Raw genomic sequence first — 24028 nt, 5'->3', positions numbered from 1 at the left:
TTTGGATACACAGACACCAGGGATGCACAAAACCATGTGAGAACACATTGGCAAGCCAAGGAGAGGAGCCTCAAGAGAAATCAAAGCAACCAACACCTTATTCCTAGACTTGCAGCCTCCAGAACTATGAGAAAATAAATTTTATTGCTTAAGCCACCCAGTTTGTGGTATTTTATTATACCAGCCCTAGAAAACTAACCTGTTATCTTAAGACAGCATCAACTATTAAGTAAAAGGTACTTCAATGAAGTGGGCCTTTTTTCTCTTAGCCATCATCTGGAAAAAACAGCATACAGAGAGAAATCAATGAGTTACTTCAGTGTGAAAACACCTCACAAAGGACTTTAATCACCAAATGGGAGATTAAAGACAAAGTCCTTCAATAATCCAACATCAAGGTTATACACACTAAAACCTTGATATAAGGTCTAACATATGATTATATATAGGGTCAGGGAAGGGTGACAGAGCAATTTGCTGAAAGTAAGAGACAGGATAACCAAAGTACCACTTTCACAGTTCCTACTTAGAGAAGAAGTGATTAAGATCTCTGAACAACCTGAACACCACAGTAGGTGGATGTATGTCAGTGGTGGGCCCCCACTCTAATACTTAAAACGTTATAGGAAAATTATTGATAAACTGATGGGTCTTTTTCTTTTTTATGCTGTATTTTACTTCTTTTAGTTATCTGTGGTGAATTTAAGAGCTAAATGTGGGGCCGGGCACAGTGGCTCATGCCTGTAATCCCAGCACTTTGAGAGGCCAAGGTGGGTGGATCACCTGAGGTAGGAGTTCGAGACCAGCCTGGTCAACATGGTGAAACTACGTCTCTACTAAAAATACAAAAAATTAGCTTGGCGTGGTGGTGGGCTCTTGTAATCCCAGTTACTCGGGAGGCTGAGGCAGGAGAATTGCTTAAATCTGGGAAGAGGAGGTTGCAGTGAGCTGAGATCGCACCATTGTACTCCAGCCTGGGCGACAAGAGCAAAACTCTCTCAAAAAAAAAAAAAAAAAAAAAAAAGCTAAATTTGAACCGCCAAACAAGTAACTCAAAATTTGTCTTTAGTAAATTGTCAAGAGCTACTATAATATCCATTTTGATACAAACTTGTGCTAAACAATGTTTTTCTTTTTACTTATATTGCCATTGTTTCTTCGAAGATTATACAGATGGAAACATGTATTTAAGCCTGAAAGCTTCACAACTGATGGATGCCGGGTCTTCTGGCTCCACCATCCACACCTCCCACTGCTCTGCTCTCCTGGAAGTCCTGCCCTTATCCTTTGAGAAGTAATCTGCTACAAAGAGACAGGGACAGGCAGTAGATCTTCATCTGAGGGCATCAAGAACCCTGGACCTTTAGAGTTAGAAAGAACTTGATAGTTTCTGTTCTTACTCATCTCACTTCACAGGTGAGGAATTCAAAGCCATGGCATTAAGAAAGTAATTGAAATGGAGGCATTAAGTGATTGGCTCAAGGCTACATAGCCAGGGTGGCAATGTCATTAAGGGCATATTGCACTCTTCTCACCTAGTCTAGACTAAGAACCCTTACTCACCTCTCCACACCCCATCTTACGGGCTGAATTGTGTCCCCCTGAAATTCATATGCTGAAGTCCCAAACCCCTGCCCCTCAGAATACCCATATTTGGAGATTTAAAAAGGCAATTAAGGTGATTAAGATTAAACAAGGCATCTAGAGTAAAGTTCTAATCTAATATGGCAGGTGTATTTTCAAAATAATTTTCAATATTCATAAAAGCCTAAAGGAAATGCACAAAATATGGTCTATCTAGAATTCCAGGTTTCACTGCTTTTAGGTAGAATTATACCAATGTGGTGACACCAGCTATCTCATATGAATCTGAAACTTTAGTTAGTAATCGATGTCTTTCATTAATTTAAAATGAGAAAATTATTTATAATTTAACAAAGTTGATTTGCTTGATAAGTAAAAAACTCAGGCTTTTTGATGAAGAGAAGATTGAGCAGGAACCACTACTTTAAGCCCCCAATTCCTTTATTTGGATCATCTAAGACCCATGCTGTTTAATCCTCTTCAAATTTCTAGAGCTCTTTCAGGGATGAACTGAACAAATTATATGGCTCCAGTCATCTGTCACATCAGGGGTGTTGACAGCCACTGTTTTCAAATCTGAGTGCCGCTGACTTTTGCTGTATTTGGTTATTTTCCTGAGAGTCAATGAAACTTTAAGTGAAAACGATCCCAAGATAAGAAAATTTAAAAACAGTCTAATTAAATAGGTGGATAGACCTAGCTCTTTAACCGAATAGAAGCAAAATTTAAAAGCCGAGATACTCAGTACATGTACTAGGGTATCAAGTGCCCTCAGTAGAATATATCTGAAAGTGTGAAAAACAGTACTTTAAGCAGAAATGTACATTTTATTTAAAAAGCAATAGCAAAGGTGTGAAGAACACAAACTTCTATTAATAACAGTTTATTAAATGCTTTATAGTAAAATATTGAGCCCACTCTATTACAATACACAGACTTAATGTTCTAACAAAGAAAACTGCCTCAATTGAGGGAAGTTTGTGATGCAAATGCAAGGTGGAATTTTGGGGAGCAACACAAACAAATGTATCCTCCTTCTGCTCTTCCACAACTGCAATACTGATGTTCAGAAATGTTTAGGTATTGGGAGAAACCTTTAGAATTTCCTGAGTATTTTATTAAACAATTCTTACAATTATGTTACCTTAAAGGAAAACATGAAAATTTTCTGATGAAAACATCCATTTTAATATTTATTATCTTCAGTGACTAAGAAACACAATCCTAAACAACATGTATTATACCGTAAGAAAGTCTTTGGAGTTATCATAAGGCTCTCCAGCACAAGGTAAACTTCAAGGCAATTTATCAAGAACTAAATTTTTTTGAACTACCGAGATAGTGGCATATGAAGGTAAAAAGAAATGTCAAGGTTAGCCGATTGTTTTCCAAATACTAGGATCTAAAGAATACCGGGGGAAAATAGAATGTGGGAATGAGGTGCTATTGGACAGTAACAGATGGCTAAAAACAGGTACTGAGACTAGTTAGCATTAACTAGTATATAATGTATCTTAATTCATTAGTCAACATTGTCTTCATGTATATAATTATTTCAGGATAGCATTTCTACAAATTTTATTGGTTCATTTAGTTTATCAAGTCAGCTTGCAAATAAATTTTGATTCCGAGTATCTAACGTTATAGCAACTATAATTGCATTTTGATGTTTATCCCTAAGTATATCTGGCACTGTCAGCCATGGCTCTTGAATACGTTGTTTCTTGATATAATATCACTAAAAACAGAAGTGATATTGAAAAAAATAACTACTTATCTAAAACTCAAGATTCACAATGAACTTAACCAATTAACATTACTGAGCTCACACTAAAACTAGATCTTTTTCATTTTAAATAATGTAACCAAATCCTACAAAGAACAATTATTCAGAAAATCACATCCTAAGGTTTGCACTCATAGTCATCTATAATACGTATTGAGTATTGGGACTGAATTTGTACTCCTGGTCCACACTTTGGTACCCTATGTTTTCCATACTGGACATTTCATTTTATGAATAGGGCAATCAAAGAACTTAAAAGTAAAGAAAATAAGCTTTAATTTGGATGCAAGCATTTTGCATTCATATTAATAAAAGAGATCATGCTTTCAAAGGAAGAGAAAAATAAAATCATGTGTGGTAACATAGAGTACTGCAGTCACAAGTAACCCAAACATACAACCATCTTCATTACAGAACTAAGCAGCCAATTCTAATACACTACAAACCATTTGATTAAAAAGGCTTACAGCCAATACTTTAAGAAGGAAACACCAGTGAAAATCGTTTTAAAATATATACCCTTGTAAAATGATATATTCTTTTAACATTAAAACCTTGTTTCAGAAGTTCCCCTCTTTAGGTTGTTACTCAAAAACTCATCATGTTCAAAACTCAAATTATTGTGAGATCTTGAAATCATAAGAAGCTTCTCCTTATTGGTAAAGTCCTTTTTGATGGCAACTTGGGGCACAAGCAACCTATCCATCGGGTCTTCTTTGTTCTCTAGTTTCATATATCCCTTGCTGTTGTTCCGATCCAACCTAGGCCAACTTGGATGTTTCCGTTGTTCTGCCTGAACAGTTAGAGTGGAGGGACCCCGGTCTAAGTCCAAGGACTTTGAGTGTGACGAGAGCAAATGCAAGGATGTATTGGACCCAAACTGTCTTCTGGCAGCCCCAGGAGACAAGAGCTGTCCAGCCCCAGGTCCGAGAGCCATAGATGACTTGTACTGACTCGACAACGACTCCCCAATGGAATTATTCCTTGGTAGCACTGTGCTGACGGGCTGGAAGGATTCACTGGTGTTGGGCAAAGGAACCACAAGGGAATCCATTGACAAATTCCTTGACCTACTTTTGAGGTTGTCAGCATCTTCAGTGATGTTATCTATACTGGGCTCATCAATAACACAGTTATTAAGTTTGATCACAGGCAATGTAAAAGCACTGATGGACGATGACACAATTGACTTGGTTTCACATTTCTTAGAGCCGCTGGTCTTATCATCAGTTGTCTTGGAAGGAGGTGGATAGAGGCCAAAGACAGACACAGAGCTGTCAGAGAGCAAAGGGGGCATAAGATGCCCAGAACTCTTACCTTCATTTAACATAAGTTCATCCTCCTCCACGGAGCTGTCCATTCGAAAACTGCTCCGAAAACCCGAGAAAGAGGCGATCGTATTTGCTGCCAATCTCGAGGCACAGGAGCTCCCATTCTGTTTTACTTCTGTTTCTCCCATCAAACCAGTGTACATGCCGTTCATTTGCCTTTGCTCCTTGATTCTTAGCGTGTGAATGTCAATGACTGTGGAATAGATATCCCTCATGTGTATGATTTTGGTCTCTTTGTCACGGTTTTCATGAAGAATGGCATTAGCACAAATGAAAATGAAAATGCCAATCCCCATGGTGAATGGGCCAAGCATTTTCATCTTATCAGAATGCAAATGCTGCTCAAAGAAGCGAACCACCACACCGCCTTCATTCCGAATGACCTGAGTTTCATTTGTTGACAGTGTTGTTTCAGCATCAATAAAATGTTCTTTTTGGGGCCAATATCCAAGAACGGCCATAGCAATTCCTATAATGGAGATGAGCACTCCTAAAATAAGAAAAAAACCAGATGGGGAATAAAGCCGGATTTTGCCACGAACAACCACAACATCTGCCCGGGGCCGGCGCCTGATGGGCTTCTTCTCTTGGGTAGCAGGAGACGGGCTGAGGTTGACATGCTGCTGTGATCTGGCAGAGTCTTGCCTTTTCAAGGCGGCCAGGCCAGTTATCACTCCACCAGTTGCTATCATAGCTTGGCCTTTTACTCTGAAGAAGAAAAAAAAAAGGAAAAAGATGATGTAAATATGTTCCTGGGGTATGAGCATCAGTTCAATTAAACAACTGTTTACACAGAATTTTTGTTGCTGTTGCAGTTTCATGTGATTAAATGGGGCAGAATATTTTTTTAATTGACATAGTTTGGGTACAAATTTTATTTATTGACTAATGTAAATTTCTGGAGATTTCCTTTTTGGCTAAGTAAACATTTCTATTATTTTTTCAGTTACATTTCTGTTATTGATTAAATGTGAGCTCAAGGAATATTTAAATAATTTTATCACTTATTAATATAAAATAGTCCCCTGGCCACAAGACTGATGCTCACTCTTTCTCTTCTCTCTCTCTCTCTCACACACACACACACATACACACACACACACAGAGTTATCTGTGCTATTTTAAATCATTCATTGGACAAATCTAGAATACTTAATAGGTCAAAAACAAACACTCCAGACTGACAAAGAGGATACATTCCAGCAATTCATGGTTCTAAGACCTCTCTTGTGAAAGTCGTCAATGAATTCTTAGCTGCCACATTTAATTTCCCCCTCAATTTTCATCTTCCTTACCTCTCTGCTTCCATGGATATTACTGCCCCTCCTTTCTCCACACTCTCTCTTCCCCAGTCTTTTATGATGTTAAGTTCTCCTACTTCTACTCTGACCTCACTGACTATTTCAACAGACTCACCTAAAAGTAGAACTTCTCCCTAGAGTCTTGTTCTTGGTCATCTTCTCTTCCATACTCTCCCTTGGCATTCATATCTGTTCCTACATCTTCACTATTTCCTTGATGCTAATGAGTCCCAAGTCTATATTTCAGGTCATATCCTGAGTTTCAATTTCACACTTTCCACTGCCCATTAGGGAACATACACACATTCATGTACTGCTAGTAAAGCTGAACTTACCTTCTAGCACACACCAGCTGCACCACTTGACTTGTCTGACTTTTTTAGCAGGGTCAGTTCTCAGATTTGGCTCTTTACAGTTATTTTTAACTCCTCCCTTTCTTCTTCCTCTTCCAATCAGGTTCTAAATCCTAGAAATTTCCAATATACGATGTCCTTTAATTCCACCCCTCTGTTCTAATCCTACTCTTCCCAGCCTTGTGCAGATCTTATTAACTTTTACTAGACCATATGATAACCCCCTAACTGGTCTTCCAAAGAATTTCTCTTCCTTTACAATCAAGATTAATCAATCATCTCTGAAGTTGTTTAAAGAGCAGAATAATGATAAAATATTCTCCACTACCTACCAAAGTTTTAGCTGAAATTCTAGACCCATTGACTTTAACTTTGTCTCTAACTCTTCTCTTTAATTTGCATAAAAATAAAACCTAACAAATGTTCTGTATTTCTCATTCATATTCCATTTTGTACCATTTCTGAGATTTTGTTAACAATGTTTCAGCTGTCCAGAATCCACCCACTCCCCACTGCCCTGCCCTGTTCTTCACATACCCACATCTGGCTAGGCATCAAAGCTCATATTCCACTTTCTTTATAAAGCCTTCTCTAGCTGACCCACTGCACCCTATGCAAGCATTAACTCCTTACAGCATTTTATAATAGCAAGTTTTCTATGGCACTTACAATATTATAGTATCACAGTTCTTCTACTTATGATCAAACATCAAATTTAATTCATATTTTTATTAGCAGAAACACTCACTGTAATACCTTGCACATGGCTAGTGTTCAAGAAATATTTGCTAAAATGCTGAATGAGGGACAAATTCTCTTCTTGTGGTCTGTTGGATGACCACCATATTACTGTACTAACTTTCCTAGTTAAAAATATGAACAAACAAGATTAATATCCAAACAAAAAGCAACATTTTCTGAGTTGGTAAAATATCTATCTTGATTCATAATAAATAGTTCTCAAGCTGCCATATCTAGCTGGTAGGAAACAAGAAGATATTTTAAGTTCCACAAGGTCTTTGGCAAATTTCAGAGAGAGTTTCTTCAGGGCATCAAATCTCATCTTGCAGCATTGAGCTCTCCTTTTGAATTTCTATTTATGATTTCTGAATTGTGTTTAAATAACAGGCTTGTGGTTGTTATCTACAGTTTTAACAAGCCAGTGAGTAAATCCAGCCTTCAGTGAAATTATAACTAGGATTAAAATAGTTTTATGTTGGAAGAACAAACTAAATTGTAATCTGTTGCTCTAGTCTATGAAATTTATCAAAGTGTACATACTGCAGATTAGAACCTTTCCCAAACCTTTGCTAAAATAAAGCTTAGTGTCAACCTATGTTTTCTTGAAGCAAAAACCATTTCAAATGTTTGAATTAAATGCTTAGATTAGATAGCAGCCCTCTAGCCCAGTTATTTCCATATGGCAGGCTTAAGGATTTAGTCTGAAATCCTTCTGAGTAGAATGGAAACAAGGGCAAAAACGTTTCATTTAATTTAAAAGCAATAAAAGTGAATTACATTCCATACAGATTTCTAGTCCTCCCCCACTTTTTAAAACATTAGCACTACCATTTTCGCTTAGGAGGCTGATTGATAGAGGAAAGGAGATTAGATGAGAAAAGATATTTTAAGAAAAATATATGAGGACAGAAAGGTGAAAAAGAGAGATGGATGACTGGGCTTGCATGTGAGCATGTAAAGAAACGTTAGGAAGAAAAAAGGTATCTTAAAGTAAAAAAGGGTATCTTAAAAGTATGAAAATGGATAGAAACAAAAAGAGGCAAAAACTTCCAGAGTAGTTGAGAAATAAAGAATTTAATGGGTGGAGGAATCACATTTTCTTCAGCCATTCTACCCTGGTCAAGCCCAGACAGAGGCACCAAGACTCCCAAGGATTGGCAAAATCACATTTGGTGCCAATGTCCTTTAATTCTGTTTAAAGCAATTCAATACTACAGAAGGCTCTATTATCACTCAGGGTCCCAATGTAGACCCTGAGAGGAAAGCAAAGGTGAGCAAATTCAATCACTGTTTCAAACAGCTTGAAACCTAATGAAGGAGCTAACAGATCCACATAAAACAGAATGAGGTAACTCCTAGAATGAAAGTTTCCATTAGAGAAGGACCTTTCATTAGGCTTCACACAGGAGATAGCACATAGATCACAGTCAAAAGTCAGGTTAGCAGTATTTCAAGGAAGGTCAAGGGAAAGAAAGCAGTCCAGGAATAGGAACTTGGCCAGCACACAACTCAGTACTACAGGAGGTCAGTTAGGTAAGTAAGGCCAGAGCGAGAGGGACAGCCAAGTCTTGGGAGTTGGCAAATGCTATTCCTAAATGCTTGCAATTTATACACATCTGCCATGGAGTTGGAGTAAGACATAAATACTGCTGTTGTTATTTTAGAAAAAATTAATCTGAACTTGTAGATGAAAGCAGGAATTAGGGACCAATACCGGAAAATGGCATGGGGATGCTAACGGCAGTTGCACAATAAGGAGCCTAGTGAAGGCTGGGTGCAGTGGCTCACACCTGTAACTCCAGAGCTTTGGGAGGCCAAGGCTTTAGTGTCACTTGTGGCCAGCAGTTCAAGACCAGCACTGGCAACATAGCAAGACTCCATCTCTACAAAACATTTTTTTAGCAAGTTAGCCAGGCATGGTGGCAGATGCCTGTAGTCTCAGTTACTCAGGAGGCTGAGGCAGGAGGATTAATTGAGGCCAGGAGCTGGAGGCTGCAGTGAGTTATGATCATGCCACTACTTCAGCTTGGGTGATAGAGCAAGAACCTGTCTCTCTGAAAAAAAAAAAAAAAAAAAAAAAAAAAAAAAGGATAAAGAAAAACGAAGCCTAGTGAAACTATAAAATCTAGAATGAGTGAATCTACAGGCTCTGCATCTTCAAACTGTAATGCCAATTGGTACAAAGTGTTCAGTATATGCAAAAACAGCCTAAATCTACCTTTTTTTTTTTTTTTGGTCAATGCTGCAAAGCTACATGCCCTCCATCCTACACTTTTATGACTGTTTTTTTTTGTTTTGTTTTGCATGTTTTTCTAAGGCATGGGAAATGTAAGAATCCTGTTAACTAGTCTCCTCACTGTAACAAGCCATACTCTTCTAAGTTTTAATAATAATAGTAATAACAGCCCATACTGCTTATGGTCAGGCAATGTTCTAAGTGCTTTAGTACAAAAACATTTGTTCTCACAATAATTCTGGAGGAGTAATAATTGTAATATCTATTTTTCAGGTTACTGAGGCTAAGAGAGCTTAGGTAACTTGCCTAGAGTCACACAGCTAGGAGGTTACCCCAGAGCCTCCCATTTGAGATGGGGAGGGGCCTCCAGATTTGCTTTCATTTGAGGTTTTCTTTTTTCTTATTCTGATTCCTGTTTCCATAACACCAAATGCAAAAGAATGCTGCTCTGCCTTTAAAACTAGGCCTGTGGACCAATCAACTCCCATTTTCCAAATCTCAATGATTACCTGTGAAAAGCCATGGGGAGTACATAAGTTTGAAGGCCTCACCTTGGGTGAGTATCTGGCCTCTTGCACCTGTCCATATCCCTTCAGTGTATGAAGATGCAGACTCAAAGGAGACCACTTTTCTACCTCCACATCCTCCTCTTTGCTCTCCAGCATGCCTGACAGGGCAGGGCCGTGACTTATTCCCTCAAAGATTCAAGTGAAGGATTTTACTACACTGAATTTCATTTTGTTAACTTGGGAACAAAATTTCTGCTTATCAGTCTCTTTGGATCCTAAGCCTGGCTTCCAAAATCCTGTTGTCCCTCTCAGTTTATGTTCATTTGCAAATATTATAAATCTGACTTCCAAAGCTTCACCCAAGTGTTTGGAAATCGTAATTGAAGAAAGTATAGAGCAAAGAAAGCTCTGTGATATTCCACTACAGACCTCTTTCTAGGTACACATTGTTAATTTGTTTAGATATTCATGTAATTGCAATAAAAATGGACACCTGGCATTGAAGTAGACACTGGGCTCAAAATATGTTTCCTGGCCTGAGACTATATTGATCAGCAACCATCATTTTGATGACATCATTTAACTGGTTATAAATAAATCTAACTAGAAGGCCAGCCACACTTAATGTTTCCATATTCTTCAAAAAGAGATCATGATTTTGTCAAAGGCCAAGTTAAAAGACAAATATGGGCTGGGTGCGATGGCTCACATCTGTAATCCTAGCAACTTCCGAAGGCCAAGGCGGGTGAATTGCTTAAGCCCAGGAATTCGAGACCATCCTGGGCAACACATTAAGACCTTGTCTCTTAATTTGAAGAAAAAAAAAGAGACAAATATGTATATACCTGCAGACAACCAAAAATACAAAATTAGTTTGGGCTAACTTTTGGCTACATATTGATCATCTTTTTTTTTTTTTTCATTCCCAGTGCTCACAAACCAGCCACAATTTTGCTAAGCAATAGACATCAAGATTACCAGCTTGAAATTCACAAAACACACCTTCTTTTACTTTGCAAACTAGGATACTGTTGGGCTATCTCCAGGCCTTTCCCATCTTACATAAATCTGAGATTCATTGTGGGTCTTGGAGATCATCTGTAGAAAATCTTATTTTCCACCTTTCTCACTACAGAGAGATGTACTCTTGCCCGCACTCAAGCCCACTGTCTGCTTGCCTCTCTTGGGTTCACTTCCCTTTGAACCATTTGCCTTTGCAGACAAAAGCTCTTCTTGAAGAGAAGATTTCTGCTTTGTGAGTCATGTGTAATACTATACCACATACCGTCCGTTCTAATCTTCAGGCTTACCTCTCCTATTTTTGTTCTCATACTAATCTTAAAAGCCTTATTGCTGTCCTTTACCCTTTTTACAAGCTTAAGCACATTCTGGTATTTGCTTCTTATGGCACTAATCCATACCAGTTTTTAGTATTCTCACACTCACAGAAGTTTATTCCTATATATTTACATCACACTATTCTGACCACACTGTGAGCCTATAATACATTAGACATGGTTCAATTATATTTGAGATAATTATAATTACATAGACTTCCAGAGCTGAGAGACTTTAGACATCTTTGGATCCAGCCATTCCTTTTAGCCATCTAAAGGCCAGGAATGTTACTGAAGATCAAACACTGAATTAGCAGACAGAATAGAACTGGAATACAAGTTTTCAGACTCCCAGTCCAGTGTTCACTCTTGTTTATATATTCCCTTTTCTATTGTTTTTTCATGCTGTCCCAGTGCCTTGGCAGAGTGCCTGGCATATACTAAATGCTCAGTAAGTATCTGTTGACTGTGAACTGAGTTGATGAAGGTTTGAGTATGGTTGAAATGTTCTAGGCACTAGGGACACAAAGTTAATAAAACCTCATCCCTGATTTCAAGGAGTATGGAGTCCAGTAGGAAAACAGTAGAAATAAACATTTAAAATAAAAGAATTGCTATGATGGAGCTACAGGAGCATTGCAGAATGCTCTTCCATACTATCTGAAGGAGTCAGGACAGGCTTCCAAGAAGTGGTGGCAGTTAACGAAGGCTTGGCACATAAATGAGGGTATGCCATGCAGATAGATTCTAATTCATCCTTGTTCCTGACTATTGCATAAGGGTCCCTGCCCTCTGATTTTTCATCATCTTCCTAGTTGAAGTGTGACTATTATTTTAAATATATTTGATACTGTCTTATTTATATGTTTGAATTTTTATCTTTATCTGGAGGTTTAAAAATTCACCAGAATGTGAGGCTGTCTGCCCAAAGGAAGTAAAAATTAATCTATGCCTTGAGTACCAAACAAAAACATTATATAAAAACCCCATGTGGTATCCACAAATGTGACAGATGGAAATATTTTCTGTTCAAGCTAGAACAATTTTAGGACTTTCTTCCTGGTTGAGACATTTCAAACTTTTAGAATAGGATTTTTAATCTATATCTTTACCAGAATTGAAAAAAGAAAATTCATATGGGTGACTAAGAGTTCAATCACATAAAGTTTAAAAAATAAAAATAGAATAAAAATCATTTTTGGCTGGGCGTGGTGGCTCATGCCTGTAATCCCAAAACTTTGGGAGGCCGAGGCAGGCGGATCACCTGAGGTCAGGAGTTCAAGACCAGCCTGGCCAACACGGTGAAACCCTGTCTCTACTAAAGATACAAAAAATTAGTTGGGCATGGTGGTGGGCATCTGTAATCCCAGCTACTCAGGAGGCTGAGGCAGGAGAATCGCTTGAACCTGAGAGGTGGAGATAGCAGTGAGCCGAGATCTTGCCACTGCACTCCAGCCTGGGCAACAAGAGCGAAACTCCGTCTCAAAAAAAAAAAAAAAAAGATCATCTTTTAGCATGTAGCATAATTGTTTTTCACGTGGCCACTGGAATCAGAGAGACAGGGGCCCATGTCTTTGCTTCCTCATTTGATGCCATGCAAGTGGCTTTTCTTATCTCAGTTCCTCCATCTATAAAATGGCAAAGCCTTCTTTGATACACAGTATATGGTGCACTTGAGGCAGAAGACCTAGCAGGCTTGAATCCCTACACAGCCCTTAATACTTAATAACCACATTTGAACAATGAATCAACCTCTTGGAGCCCCAGTTCCTTCATTTGTAAAATGGGTATAGTAACAGTACCTGTAGGATTGTTGTGAAGAGGGGATAATAAATGCAAAGCACAGTTCAGTTCTGGCAATTAAGGTCTACGTGAGTGATATTAGTGATATCAGCTGGGTCTGACTACAAGGAATTTTCAAAGATAAGTTATGTATATAATGCTTACTTTTGTGTTGATTATAAGAAGTTCTCAAACAATAGCTATTACTAACTCTTCATAGCTCACATTGTTCTTTTACTGCTCTGCTAGGCAAATTAAAAATATACTAAGTAATTAATGATGACTTTCTGTCCATGGAGAGGTAGTTATGACTGCAAGTTTGTTCTGAGACTTAAGAGTCAAAAACTATCTGAATGGAATCTGTATATTTTAGTGGCAAAAGCATTAACAATTTGGAAGTTAAAAAGAACAGCTGAATTTATGTAAGAGACAGTTGGGAGATACAGAAAGAATAAAGCACGCCTTTCTTTTAAATTCATTCTATTTCTTCAGATTCGGAGACCTGTCTTGTGACAAACATAAAAGCAATAAGAAAAACAAGGTAGGAAAACCTAAACCCGTTCATCTGATGTTTTTAGTTAACTTCGTGATGCAATTGGATCGAATGAATGAGTAATCTGATCAATTCTGCACGCACTATTCTGTTTCCATTGGGACACCCAAGCATAAAACTAACTGAAAATGCAGAGGAACATGGTGCCTGGGCATATGGGGAGTACAGAAGATGCCATAAGAGTGATATAATGTGAAAATCTGCAAAATGTTAATTCTGTGGCAAGTTTAAGCTATGATTTTATGGACACATTCTGAAGATCTTTGCTGGTCTACCTTGGGGAGAATTGTTTCTCAATATTCAGTATAGTTCTACATTCACTTGAATGCTGGAACTAAAAGGAAGTACAAAATGTTTAGAAAATTTGCAAAATGATATTCAAGTCATTAAATGTAAAATATTACTTTATGGTCAAGTACATCTTGAGCCTGCAGAAAACGCTAGGAATAGAGACGAGACTGCCCTTAGAAATCTACACCTGTTCTGTTAGTAATGCCTTCAAAACCTGCCAGCCTGACAAACTGTAAAATATGGGCCCACACCAATTATGAGCTGCGTAACAATGACATAGAACAAGTGCTCTCCAAAGACTAAAAGCCAGAAGCCCGTAGAATACAGAAGTCTCCAGGAGGCCAAGTAACAGATCCATAATGAGCTCAGAAAACACCCTGCTGAGACCCTGTGGGAGATATTTTCTGCAGGAACAGAAGAAATTAGAAGGCCATTTCCCTCAAAGTAGAAATATGCTTTCCACCCCACATCCCAACTCCTCAAATCTGGACAAGCTCTTACACAATCACTGTCACACTCCCCATTCTCTGCATTTCCTGACAGGAAGGTGACTTGAAACTGGTGTAAAGAAACTATCACTAAAAATGTCACCAATTTACTAAGACACGGGAAATTAGCCAAGATATTCCTGGATGAAGAACTGAAGCATTTAAAATCACAAATTGGACTTTTTATAGAGACCCCTCCACTGCTGGAAAACATATAGTAACTTCACTTACAAGATAGTGGCTATGTTTTTGGAGACACCATTGAATAATGAGACTCTACTAAGTATTAATATCATTTCCGGTGATTTTAGATACCTGTAAATTCCCACACACTGTTGGCTTTCCTACAGGGCAAGGGGAAAGCTGGAGGACAATAGCAATTTCAATTCTAGTCGTTCCATGTACTATTAAATATCTTATATACATAAGTCTACACTTTGGCAAGTAACACAGTCGTGTCCGTATTGTTAAGGCTACTAAAGGTCTTACATTCTTAACTGCTCTAAATAAGGAGCCATCTCTCACCAAGATAGAATCACCATCTAAATGAACAGTGAGTTGTGCCATCTTTTAAGCCACAGACTAATATACTGTACATTAAATTTCTTAAGAAGTTTTCCAATTGATGGTAGCTCAATTAATAGTAAAGCGTTCTTAAAATTCTATACAAACATTAGAAAATTGTTCAAATTACATCATTTCTGCTAGAGAATTTTACATATTTTTCATAAGTAAAATCTAAGTAGGATCATCCTTAAAGCAAGGTAGAAACAGGTGTGAAGGGAGACTTCCTTGGGGATGGCAAGACCAAACTTCCCACCACTCACAGAAAGAATGATCTATTCCACTTGTAAATGCAAAATTCTTTTAGCATTTAAGGGACATCCAGGGGTTTTTCAGAGAAACCCCATGGATGAAACCTTAATGGTAAACGTATTAGAAAAAAAAGGAAGATGGTGGAGAAGGCTGCGACTATTTCTGGACTATTTCTGTTTTCATCTTTTTCCCTCTCTTCTCCTACTTGTGCAGGTTAGTGGCAGCAAGATGAATTCAAGAAAACATAGATTTTCAATTTTTAAAATGTATTTCTCGGTCTGTTTTTCTTTCATCTATTTCTCTTTGGAAACTACTTGCTATAGGCTGAATATGCCTCTCCAAAATTCCTATGTTGAAATCCTAGCCCCCAAGGTGGTGGTATTAGGAGACGGAGCCTTTGGGGGTGATTAGATCCTGAGGGTAGAGTCCATGATGGGATTAATATAAGTGGAATCCTAGAGAGCTCCCTTCCCCCTTCTACCATGTGAGGACACAGTAAGAAGACAGTATTTATAAACCAGGTAGTGGGTCCACACTAGATACTGAATCTGCTGGTATCTTGGACTTCCCAGCTTTCAGAACTGTGATAAATAAGTTTCTGTTGTTTATAAGCCATGTAGTCTATGATATTTTTGTTATAGCAGCCAGAACAAAGTAGGACACTCCACATGCTCATGGTAAAAACCCAGCAGTACAAAATGAAGAGGGAGTCGCTTCAGCCTCTGGTTCTCCTTCCCCAATGTAAGCATGGTGTTGGATTTCTTATAGCTATATCCAGAGAAGAATGTTTTCTCATTTGGTTTTCTAGAACTGATTTATACACGTTTTTTTTACGTATTGAGGAAATCAGGTTTCTGGTTGTAATATGTGTGAGAAGCATGTTTAATTTACATTTTTACTTTATTTGATTGTATCTTTTAGCATACAGAAAATTTCAATTGTATATGGTTAAACCTATCAGTATGTTCATGGATGGTTTCAAGTCATCATTAAAAAGACCTTCTGCAATCTAAGATTATATTTAAAACATTCTCCCATGTTTCTTTCCGGTAATTTTATGGTTTAATTCCTTGCATTCAAATTTTCTGATGCATCTGGGATTTCTTTTTGTGTAAGAATCAGGCAGGGATCTAACTATTGTTTACAGGTAAACAATCTCTCTTCCCTTGGTTTGAAATACTACCACCTATATTACATATCAATTTCATATATTTGTACTATATACCAAATCCAGTATGTATTTGGGTCAATATTAAGAGTTGTCATTCTGTGATTCTCCTGCCTCAGTCTCTGGAGTAGCTGGGATTACAGGCGCATGACACCATGCCTGGCTAATTTTTGTATTTTTAGTAGAGATGGGGTTTCACCATGTTGGCCAGGCTGATCTCGAACTCCTGACCTCAGGTGATCCGCCCACCTCGGCCTTCCAAAGTGCTGGGATTACAGGCATGAGCCACTGCTCCTGGCCTCATTATTTTTCTTTGTCAAAAGTTTCTAGTCTGTTCTTACACATTTTATGTTGCACATGAACTTTATAATTTGATTTTTTTAAATCCAGTTAGTAATTTTTATGGAATCATGCTAAATCTATACATAAATATATGGAAAATCGGTGTTGTTACACTGCTGTAGCATTTTATCTAAAAATACGTTTTATGCCATAGTTTTTTTAACATAGACCTTTCTCATTTCTTGTTACTTTTTATTTCCTGGGTATTCTGTCATTGAGTTTCTATTGTATATTGGTATACAATACAATTGGTATTGTATATTTCTTTTACTCCCATTTCTATCTTCAAGTAGTTGTTTGAATGTAGGAAGGCTACTGATTTTTGTGCATTGATTTTGTACTAAACCACATTATTAAACTTGCTAGCTGTTTAAGAAAAACAGTTTCCAGTTCATTCTCTCACGTGTTCTAGAAATACAATTATATCATCTTGACATAGTATTGTTTGCCTTCCTTTTCCTAATTTTAAAACCTACAATTGCTATTTTCTAACTGTATCACTTAGTGCCTCCAGAGCAAAGGTAAACACAACTGGGATGAAGGTGTACATCCTGGCTTCGCTCCTGAATTTAATGGGCACACCTATTGTTTCACCACTGAAGTATCAATCAATCAGTGCCTGCTTTATTAAGAGTTTTCACCTAGAATTCCAGGAGACAAAATTAATTGGTTCAGAGTTGCTGTCAGAGAGAAAGCTCTCTACTAGAGAGTAAAACAGAGAAAGTGAAATGAAGGAGCAGAGAAAGGGCAAAAGAAAGAAAGAAAAAAGGTGGAGGATAAAGAAAAAAGGAAAAGGTGGAGGATAAAGTATAGGAAGAGAAGGAGAAAGTTGTATTGGGGAAGAAAATTATGGATTAATGACAATATTAAATATCTGAAAGCATGAATAAGAATTCCCATATACCTTTTTAAATGTCCTTACTTGTTAAAAACAACCTCTTCTTTGAAAAAACACATGTATCTAAGGACAGAAATTTTCTGCCTGGGATTTTTGAGATTGCTGAATTATCTACCGAATATATGAGCTGAAAGGAAAAAATTGAGAAGAATGATTAATTGCCTAAGATGTCAGGAATATAACAAAAATCAGAAAGAATGCCTAGCAGTAAAAATGAGTTCAAGGGACGCCTAAGATAACAATAACAGGATAAAACCATGTTTGTAAAAACACCATACATACACCCTACCACTTTCTACAAGGATAGTGTAATTTGGAATCATGCCTCAGATATTTTTAGCTTCAAGTATCTTCTACACTTTATAATGGTTTGTTTCCTCTGCAATGTCCTGTTAGAGATAGCAAGCCAAGAGAAAAGTGGGTAGAAAACTTTGATAGTTGATTCACAGAAGAAAAAAACAGAAATGTTCTGTTAACAAATGAAAAGAAGAATGAGCAAAGAAATGCAAACTAAGGTAATCTCAAAAGTAAAAATATTAACTTCACTAGTAATTGGCAAAAATGAAAAAAAAAAAGACAAAAAGATTGATTATGACCATTATTGGTGAGGTATAAGGGAAGAAGGTCTAATAAGCTGTCAATGAGAGGACAAATGGGTACTTTTCTTGAGGGTAACATGAGAAAGACTTTCAAAAATCGAAATGTCCATTCCCTTTGCCACCCCCTGCCTGCTGACTGCCAATTTCCCTTCTATGAATTCTTTCAAAAGATTTGCCCAAGAATACATGAAACTATGTATAAGGATGTTCACTGCAGCACGATAGTAATGGCAACAACTTGGAAACAAATGCTCAGCAACAGAAAATTGGTTAAATCAATCATGCTGCCTCCATATAATGGAATATTATACAGATATTTAAAAGGATTAATATATACTAAAATGAAAAATGTTCACATGATATTTCTGAGTTTCTAGAGCAGAAATAGTTAGAATTCTGTTCATGGCAAACATACAGAATGTTGTTGGTGACACGTAACAGAACTCTCACTTATATGTAACTGTATTATTGACCTATGCAAGGAACATGTACTGCTTTTATCTCATTTCCAATATGGAACTCTAAGTACAGAGCAAAAAAGGATGTTGAAGCCTGGAACATAAGAGTAAAAGGCAAACCAGTCTGGTACATATTAGAGTAATTAGGTGCGCTTGCTAATTTAAAGCAGGTGGAGTGTAGCCTTCGAGGCAAAAATGCAGGATTGGAGCAACTAGAAAATAGCTAAAATCACAAACCAGACTAAATGATAAGTTCAGGAAAGAAAGACTTATTTATGACACATTATAATCTTGAAACACTGAAAACAATTCTACCCACTTGGACAACACCTGAATCTACTGGGTGTAAAGTAGAATAGAGGATGAATTTAGAATTGTTATCTGCCTTTATGAAGTTTATACTCAAGAATCTGTTTAAGCCTAATGCTGTGCATTGTAAAGCAAATGAGAAGTAAGCCTTAATCAGCATCGATGAACTTTCTCTGCACCTGGGTCATCCCGACTTATTGATAGCTTCCTCCTGGGCTCCAAAAGGGACATGGCTTTCTTTCTTTCCTTCCCCAAAGCTCAGTCCCCATTGTGTTTATGTCTACCTACCTTCATGCCAACTCATCAGTGATCTTTGCTTGCTCTAACCTTACAACTTTGATTCACAGATGGAAACGGCTTCTTTCTGAGAATATCCTGCGACTTCAGAATGATTACTCTCATAAAGCAGGCAGCCACAGAGGCTGGACAGAGATCTTCAGCCTTGTGATGAAGGGAAACTGAGGGGGGGGGGGCTGCAGAAAGGATTCTTCTCCTTAACCTAATTTACATTCATCTCCTCATAAAGATGATGAAGCGAGACTGAATTTTATTTAATTTTCATGCCTTGAAATTAAATCTCTAGTCCACTCCCTCCGTTTGTCCTGTTTCATCTTTTGCGTGCTGCACAGTCCTGTTTCTACAGAGACCATGAGTCATCCCAGTGGGCGAGGGTCTGTTTCATCAAGGCCTTAAGGCTGGAGCTGGGCGAGGTAGTGAGAGGCCACTGTCCCTGGCCCTCAAGGGTTACCCTACTGGTGGCTTTTCCCTGTCTACTCTCAACCTACAGAAGGAATATTTACATTTGACTTTTCTTCAAAGCATTACAATCCCTGGGGCTTATTTAAAATGAGTTTATGACAAGGGAGAGCAGTCCCCTACATTCAAGTTACTTCAACCGCAGTTTTCTTGATTTTTTTTCATCAAAATCAAATACTAATAGTGTTATGAGTTTTTGATATGTGTATGCTTTCTAAATAAATAATTAGCATTTGTTTACATTTCTTGATCCTCAATGGTATCAGATCCATAGACAAACATAACTTACTGTAACACACTATTTTTTAGCTTTGCTGTACTTTCATGTAAAACCATAGATTTATTTGTAGTCTTTTGGAGATTAATGGAATGTTTGTTGGCTTATTCACATACTGGCTCACTTAATCCTCATAACAACCCTGAAAAGTAGTTATCAACAGCCCCTTAGACAGATGAGCTAAGGTCCAAGAGGATATGTAATTGGTATGTAAGTGGCTGTTTTAGCAGCTCTTCCAACTCAAGTTCTGACTATACAATTTTTGCAGCCACTATATTACTTCCGAACTGGCTGTGTCTTCAAAATGAAAATGCTGTAGAGAACTGAAGTAATTGCTCAGCTTTCTCAGGCTTCAATATCCTTTGCTTTAATATATTTATGGTGTGTCTGGATTATTTTTATATTACTTTTTGAGTGATGAAGAGGACTCTCCTTTCTTCCTAAATCTGAATAAGATAATGAAATCAAGTAATTAGGTAAATCAAATAGCATTCTTAATTCTTCCAGAACGATGTTGATAATTGGTTCAAATTTCTAGTTTAGTATAATTAGAAAGCAGACTCCAACTCAACTTTATTTAGCTCTGCTTATATTGTTTTCAATCCAGACCAATTATAACTTCAAACTTCTATGCTCCTTTATCCAAGGGAACCATGACTTTTAAACTCTTGTGATGTTTAACATTGATTTCTGCAGAAATATTCAATAGATACTTGCTGAGCACTGCCATGAGTAGTGACCAGAATCTGTCACTGAATCCAACATCGTCTGTGCTCTTACTGGGCTGAGGGCCTAGAAGCAGGGAGATGAGCAAGTATTACTAGGCACAAGGATGGCAGTATTCATGGGGCACAGAGAACGGTCAGAAAAAGAACTCTGGGGATGGAGTAAGAGGGAGGGAGAGAGCAAGAGAGGTTTCACAAAGAAGGTGACCTTCAAGCTGTTTTCAAAGAAAGGAGGAGGAAAAGCAGAGAGGCAGAGAGGAATTCCCAGCCGGGAAAATCAAGGGAAGACAGCTACTAGCATAGCATGAATTGATTTGCATGCATTCAGACTGGCTGGGGTTTAGGCTTAAGAAGCATAACCTTCTATCAGCAACTCCCAAGCAAAAGACAGAATTCACTGGTAACATCTCTAGGTTTTACTTGATGAAGACACCAGTCACCATCATGGCTCCCCCACCCATCCTTGGTGATCCAGGGATAACAATTTCTTCCCATAATGTGGGGACTATCTACTGCTTAAAAGGTGATCTCAGGACTCATTCAAATTGAAATTAAATAAAGTTAACTAAGGTCTACAGCCTTACTTAGATCAAAGTAAATATTAGTTAAATGGTGACTTTTTAATAATGATTAACTCCAGAAAAAAAGAAAGAAAAAAGTTTTATCCTAAATCTTTCCCAAAAGAACTGCCAAGAAGTTTTAAATTATTCATCTGGAGACTTTGGGGGAAAGTATGAAAAATGAGAAGAAAGAGTGAAAATCAGAAATGAGAAGAGAACTAGCATTTATTGAGTCCTGATTTTAGTTTTTAGCAACTCAATATATATTATTGTATTTAGTTTCAGAAAAATGCAGGAGGAAAAATTGCTCCATTTCATTGAGGCTCAGAAAACGTCTGTAATTTGTTCAATGTCACACAGCCAGGAAGCAGAAGGAAAGCTTTCAAATTCAGATCCGTTTAGCTTAAAGAACACACAATTTCCCCTTCATAATGCCACAAATTAATTAACAGAAAAAGGATTAGGAGAAGGAAGCATAATTGAACATTTTTGGAGAAAACAGATGAGAAAGAAAGAAGACTTTATGAATTTAGAATGCAGTTAGAAAAAATATGCTAAAGAAAAAATTTTAAAAATATGTTATTTAAAGAAATCAAATGGGTCTCTGAATTGCATAGCACAGTGCCCTGTCTTTGATAACTTGCAACTGTTGGTGAGGACCAAATAAGTTCAACTTATAACCTTTATAGGAACTCACTTCTATAAGAAATTATCAAAACTGTATGTGAGAAGTATTCAAATAGCTCAAAACAGAAGCGAAAACAAACACATACCACCTAATGCGTAAATCAAGCTCAAACATTCCAAATAGCATGTAATGGTGGCAACATTTAATCTGTTTAGTTTCTTATGTATCTTATTATTTGGAGGCATAATTTCTGGTGTTTTTTCTCTTTATTGCTATAGATTGGATCATCTGTCTCCAAAGCTAAGAGAATACTAAAAAATGACCCCTATCACCCCAAACTGACAGATGTTTTTAAACCTAAGCAGGTTTAAAATTTCATTTTCTTCCTAAAGTATCACATGGAAATATTAACAAAAGGTTTTTTGTTAGCAACATTTGTATGTATATTTTTCTCCCTTTCTAGGGGGTAATTCGGCAACATGTACTTTTTTTCTTTCAATTATTTTAAAGCAACGATTTTCCAACTAATTAGGGTGTATTCAAATAAAGGAATTCTATGTAATCATTTAAATGTAAGAAATCATTTAGTGACAGGAAGAAATGTTCAGTAAATATGTTAAGTGAACATAAAGACAATGTGGTAAGCGATCTCATTTATTTGAGACTTTTTCACATGTACACATGGCTGGAATAATAGATAGATACCAAAATATACACAGCTGTCTATATTCAGCTGCTGACTCAGCAACACAAATGTCCCTGTAGTAACAAGAGGCACATGGAGAACAGATATACATAGAGAAAATACCCAGATAAGCCATTCGAAAAAGAGCTCACTCCGTGGTCTAACTAAATATAATTTTAATTTTCCTCATCTATTAAGTATTACCCCAGATAGAAGGCCACTTAAAATACAGCCTTTCATTTCTTCAAAGTCACATACATCTTTATTCTAAAAAGTCAAATTACTTTGTTGTTATGCCAAGTTCAATTTGAGAGCTACAACTATGAATTTCTAGCTTAGTCAACTAAATGATAAAATTCCATGTCAAAATTATAGATACATTAATCTTATCTTCTACAATACTTCTCTTTAATGATTTCAAAAATGCCAACTGGCTAACTAGCAAGATACCAGAAATATAATAAGAACACTCATATAAGTTTTTTAAATAGTTGGTTGAAAGGGTCCAAATGCCTTCACTATTTTGGCCATATGCAACTTGCATTAAATGCTGAGTGGGAAACCCTCTCTAAGGCCTTCTGGTACAAAACAGTTCCCATGTTTTGGAATTTGCAGTCCGTAACAATCAAAACAACATTCAGGAAGACACATAAAAGACACGAGTATTATGATATCCCAAGGAGAAATAATTAGGATCATTTCAACAGTTCAAAAGCAACATTAAAAAGTACAATAAGGCTGTGTGTGGTGGCTCATGCCTGTAATCCTAGCACTTTGGGAGGCCGAGGCAGGCAGATCACTTGAGGTAGGGAGTTCAAGACCAGCCTGGCCAACATGGTGAAACCCCCTCTACTAAAAATACAAAAATTAGCTGGGTGTGGTGGCATGCATTTTTAGTCCCAGCTGCTTAGGAGGCTGATGCAGTAGAATCACTTGAACCCCGGAGGCGGAAGTTGCAGTGAGTCGATATCGCACCACTACCTTCCAGCTTGGGCAACAGAGTGACACTCCATCTTAAAAAAAATAAAAAACTATAATGAGATATCTCCTCACACCTTTCAGGAAGGTTATTACCAAAAAGACAAAAGATAAGTGCTGGCAAGGATATGGAGAAAAGGGAACCCTTGTACACTGTAGGGATGTACATTAGTACAGCCATTATTAAAAAGTATGAAGGTTCCTCAAACAATCAAAAACAGGACTACCATACGATCCAGCAATCTCTCTTCTGTGTATTTATCCGAAGAAATAAAATCAGTATGTTGAAGAGATATCTGCAATCCCATTTTCATTGCTGCATTATTCACAATAGCCAAGATATATAGAATCAACCTAAATGTCCAGTGACACATGAATAAAGAAAATGTGATAAACATGTATATATACATATATACACACACCCACACAATAAAACATTACTTAGCTTTTAAAAAGAAAGCAAGCCTCCCATTTGTGGCAACATGAGTCAATCTGGAAGACATTATGTTAAGTGAAATAAGCCAGACAAAAAGAAAA

The 24028-nt window shown here is 37.3% G+C and overlaps 1 protein-coding gene across 11 annotated transcripts in view; it reads right to left on the bottom strand.

Annotated features, from left to right (window-relative positions):
• Positions 1-2748: 2748 nt before the first annotated feature.
• Positions 2749-24028, bottom strand: part of TMEM200A (transmembrane protein 200A) — a 77537-nt gene continuing 56257 nt past the window's right edge. For 9 of the 11 annotated variants that reach the window (XM_047418151.1, XM_047418155.1, XM_047418152.1 and 6 more), the window contains one exon: positions 2749-5409. In XM_047418151.1, the coding sequence (XP_047274107.1) occupies positions 3918-5393 (1476 nt within the window). In that variant the 5' untranslated portion in view covers positions 5394-5409 and the 3' untranslated portion in view covers positions 2749-3917. Of the gene's footprint in view, positions 5410-6337; positions 9153-24028 lie in introns of those variants that run through there. The other 2 variants (XM_005266816.4, NM_052913.3) reach the window with 2 other exon arrangements.

The sequence above is a fragment of the Homo sapiens genome, chromosome 6, assembly GCF_000001405.40.
Source record: "Homo sapiens chromosome 6, GRCh38.p14 Primary Assembly".
Classification (NCBI taxonomy): Eukaryota; Metazoa; Chordata; class Mammalia; order Primates; family Hominidae; genus Homo; species Homo sapiens.
Note: the sequence above shows the minus strand (reverse complement) of the source record. Positions and strands in the feature narration are given on the sequence as shown.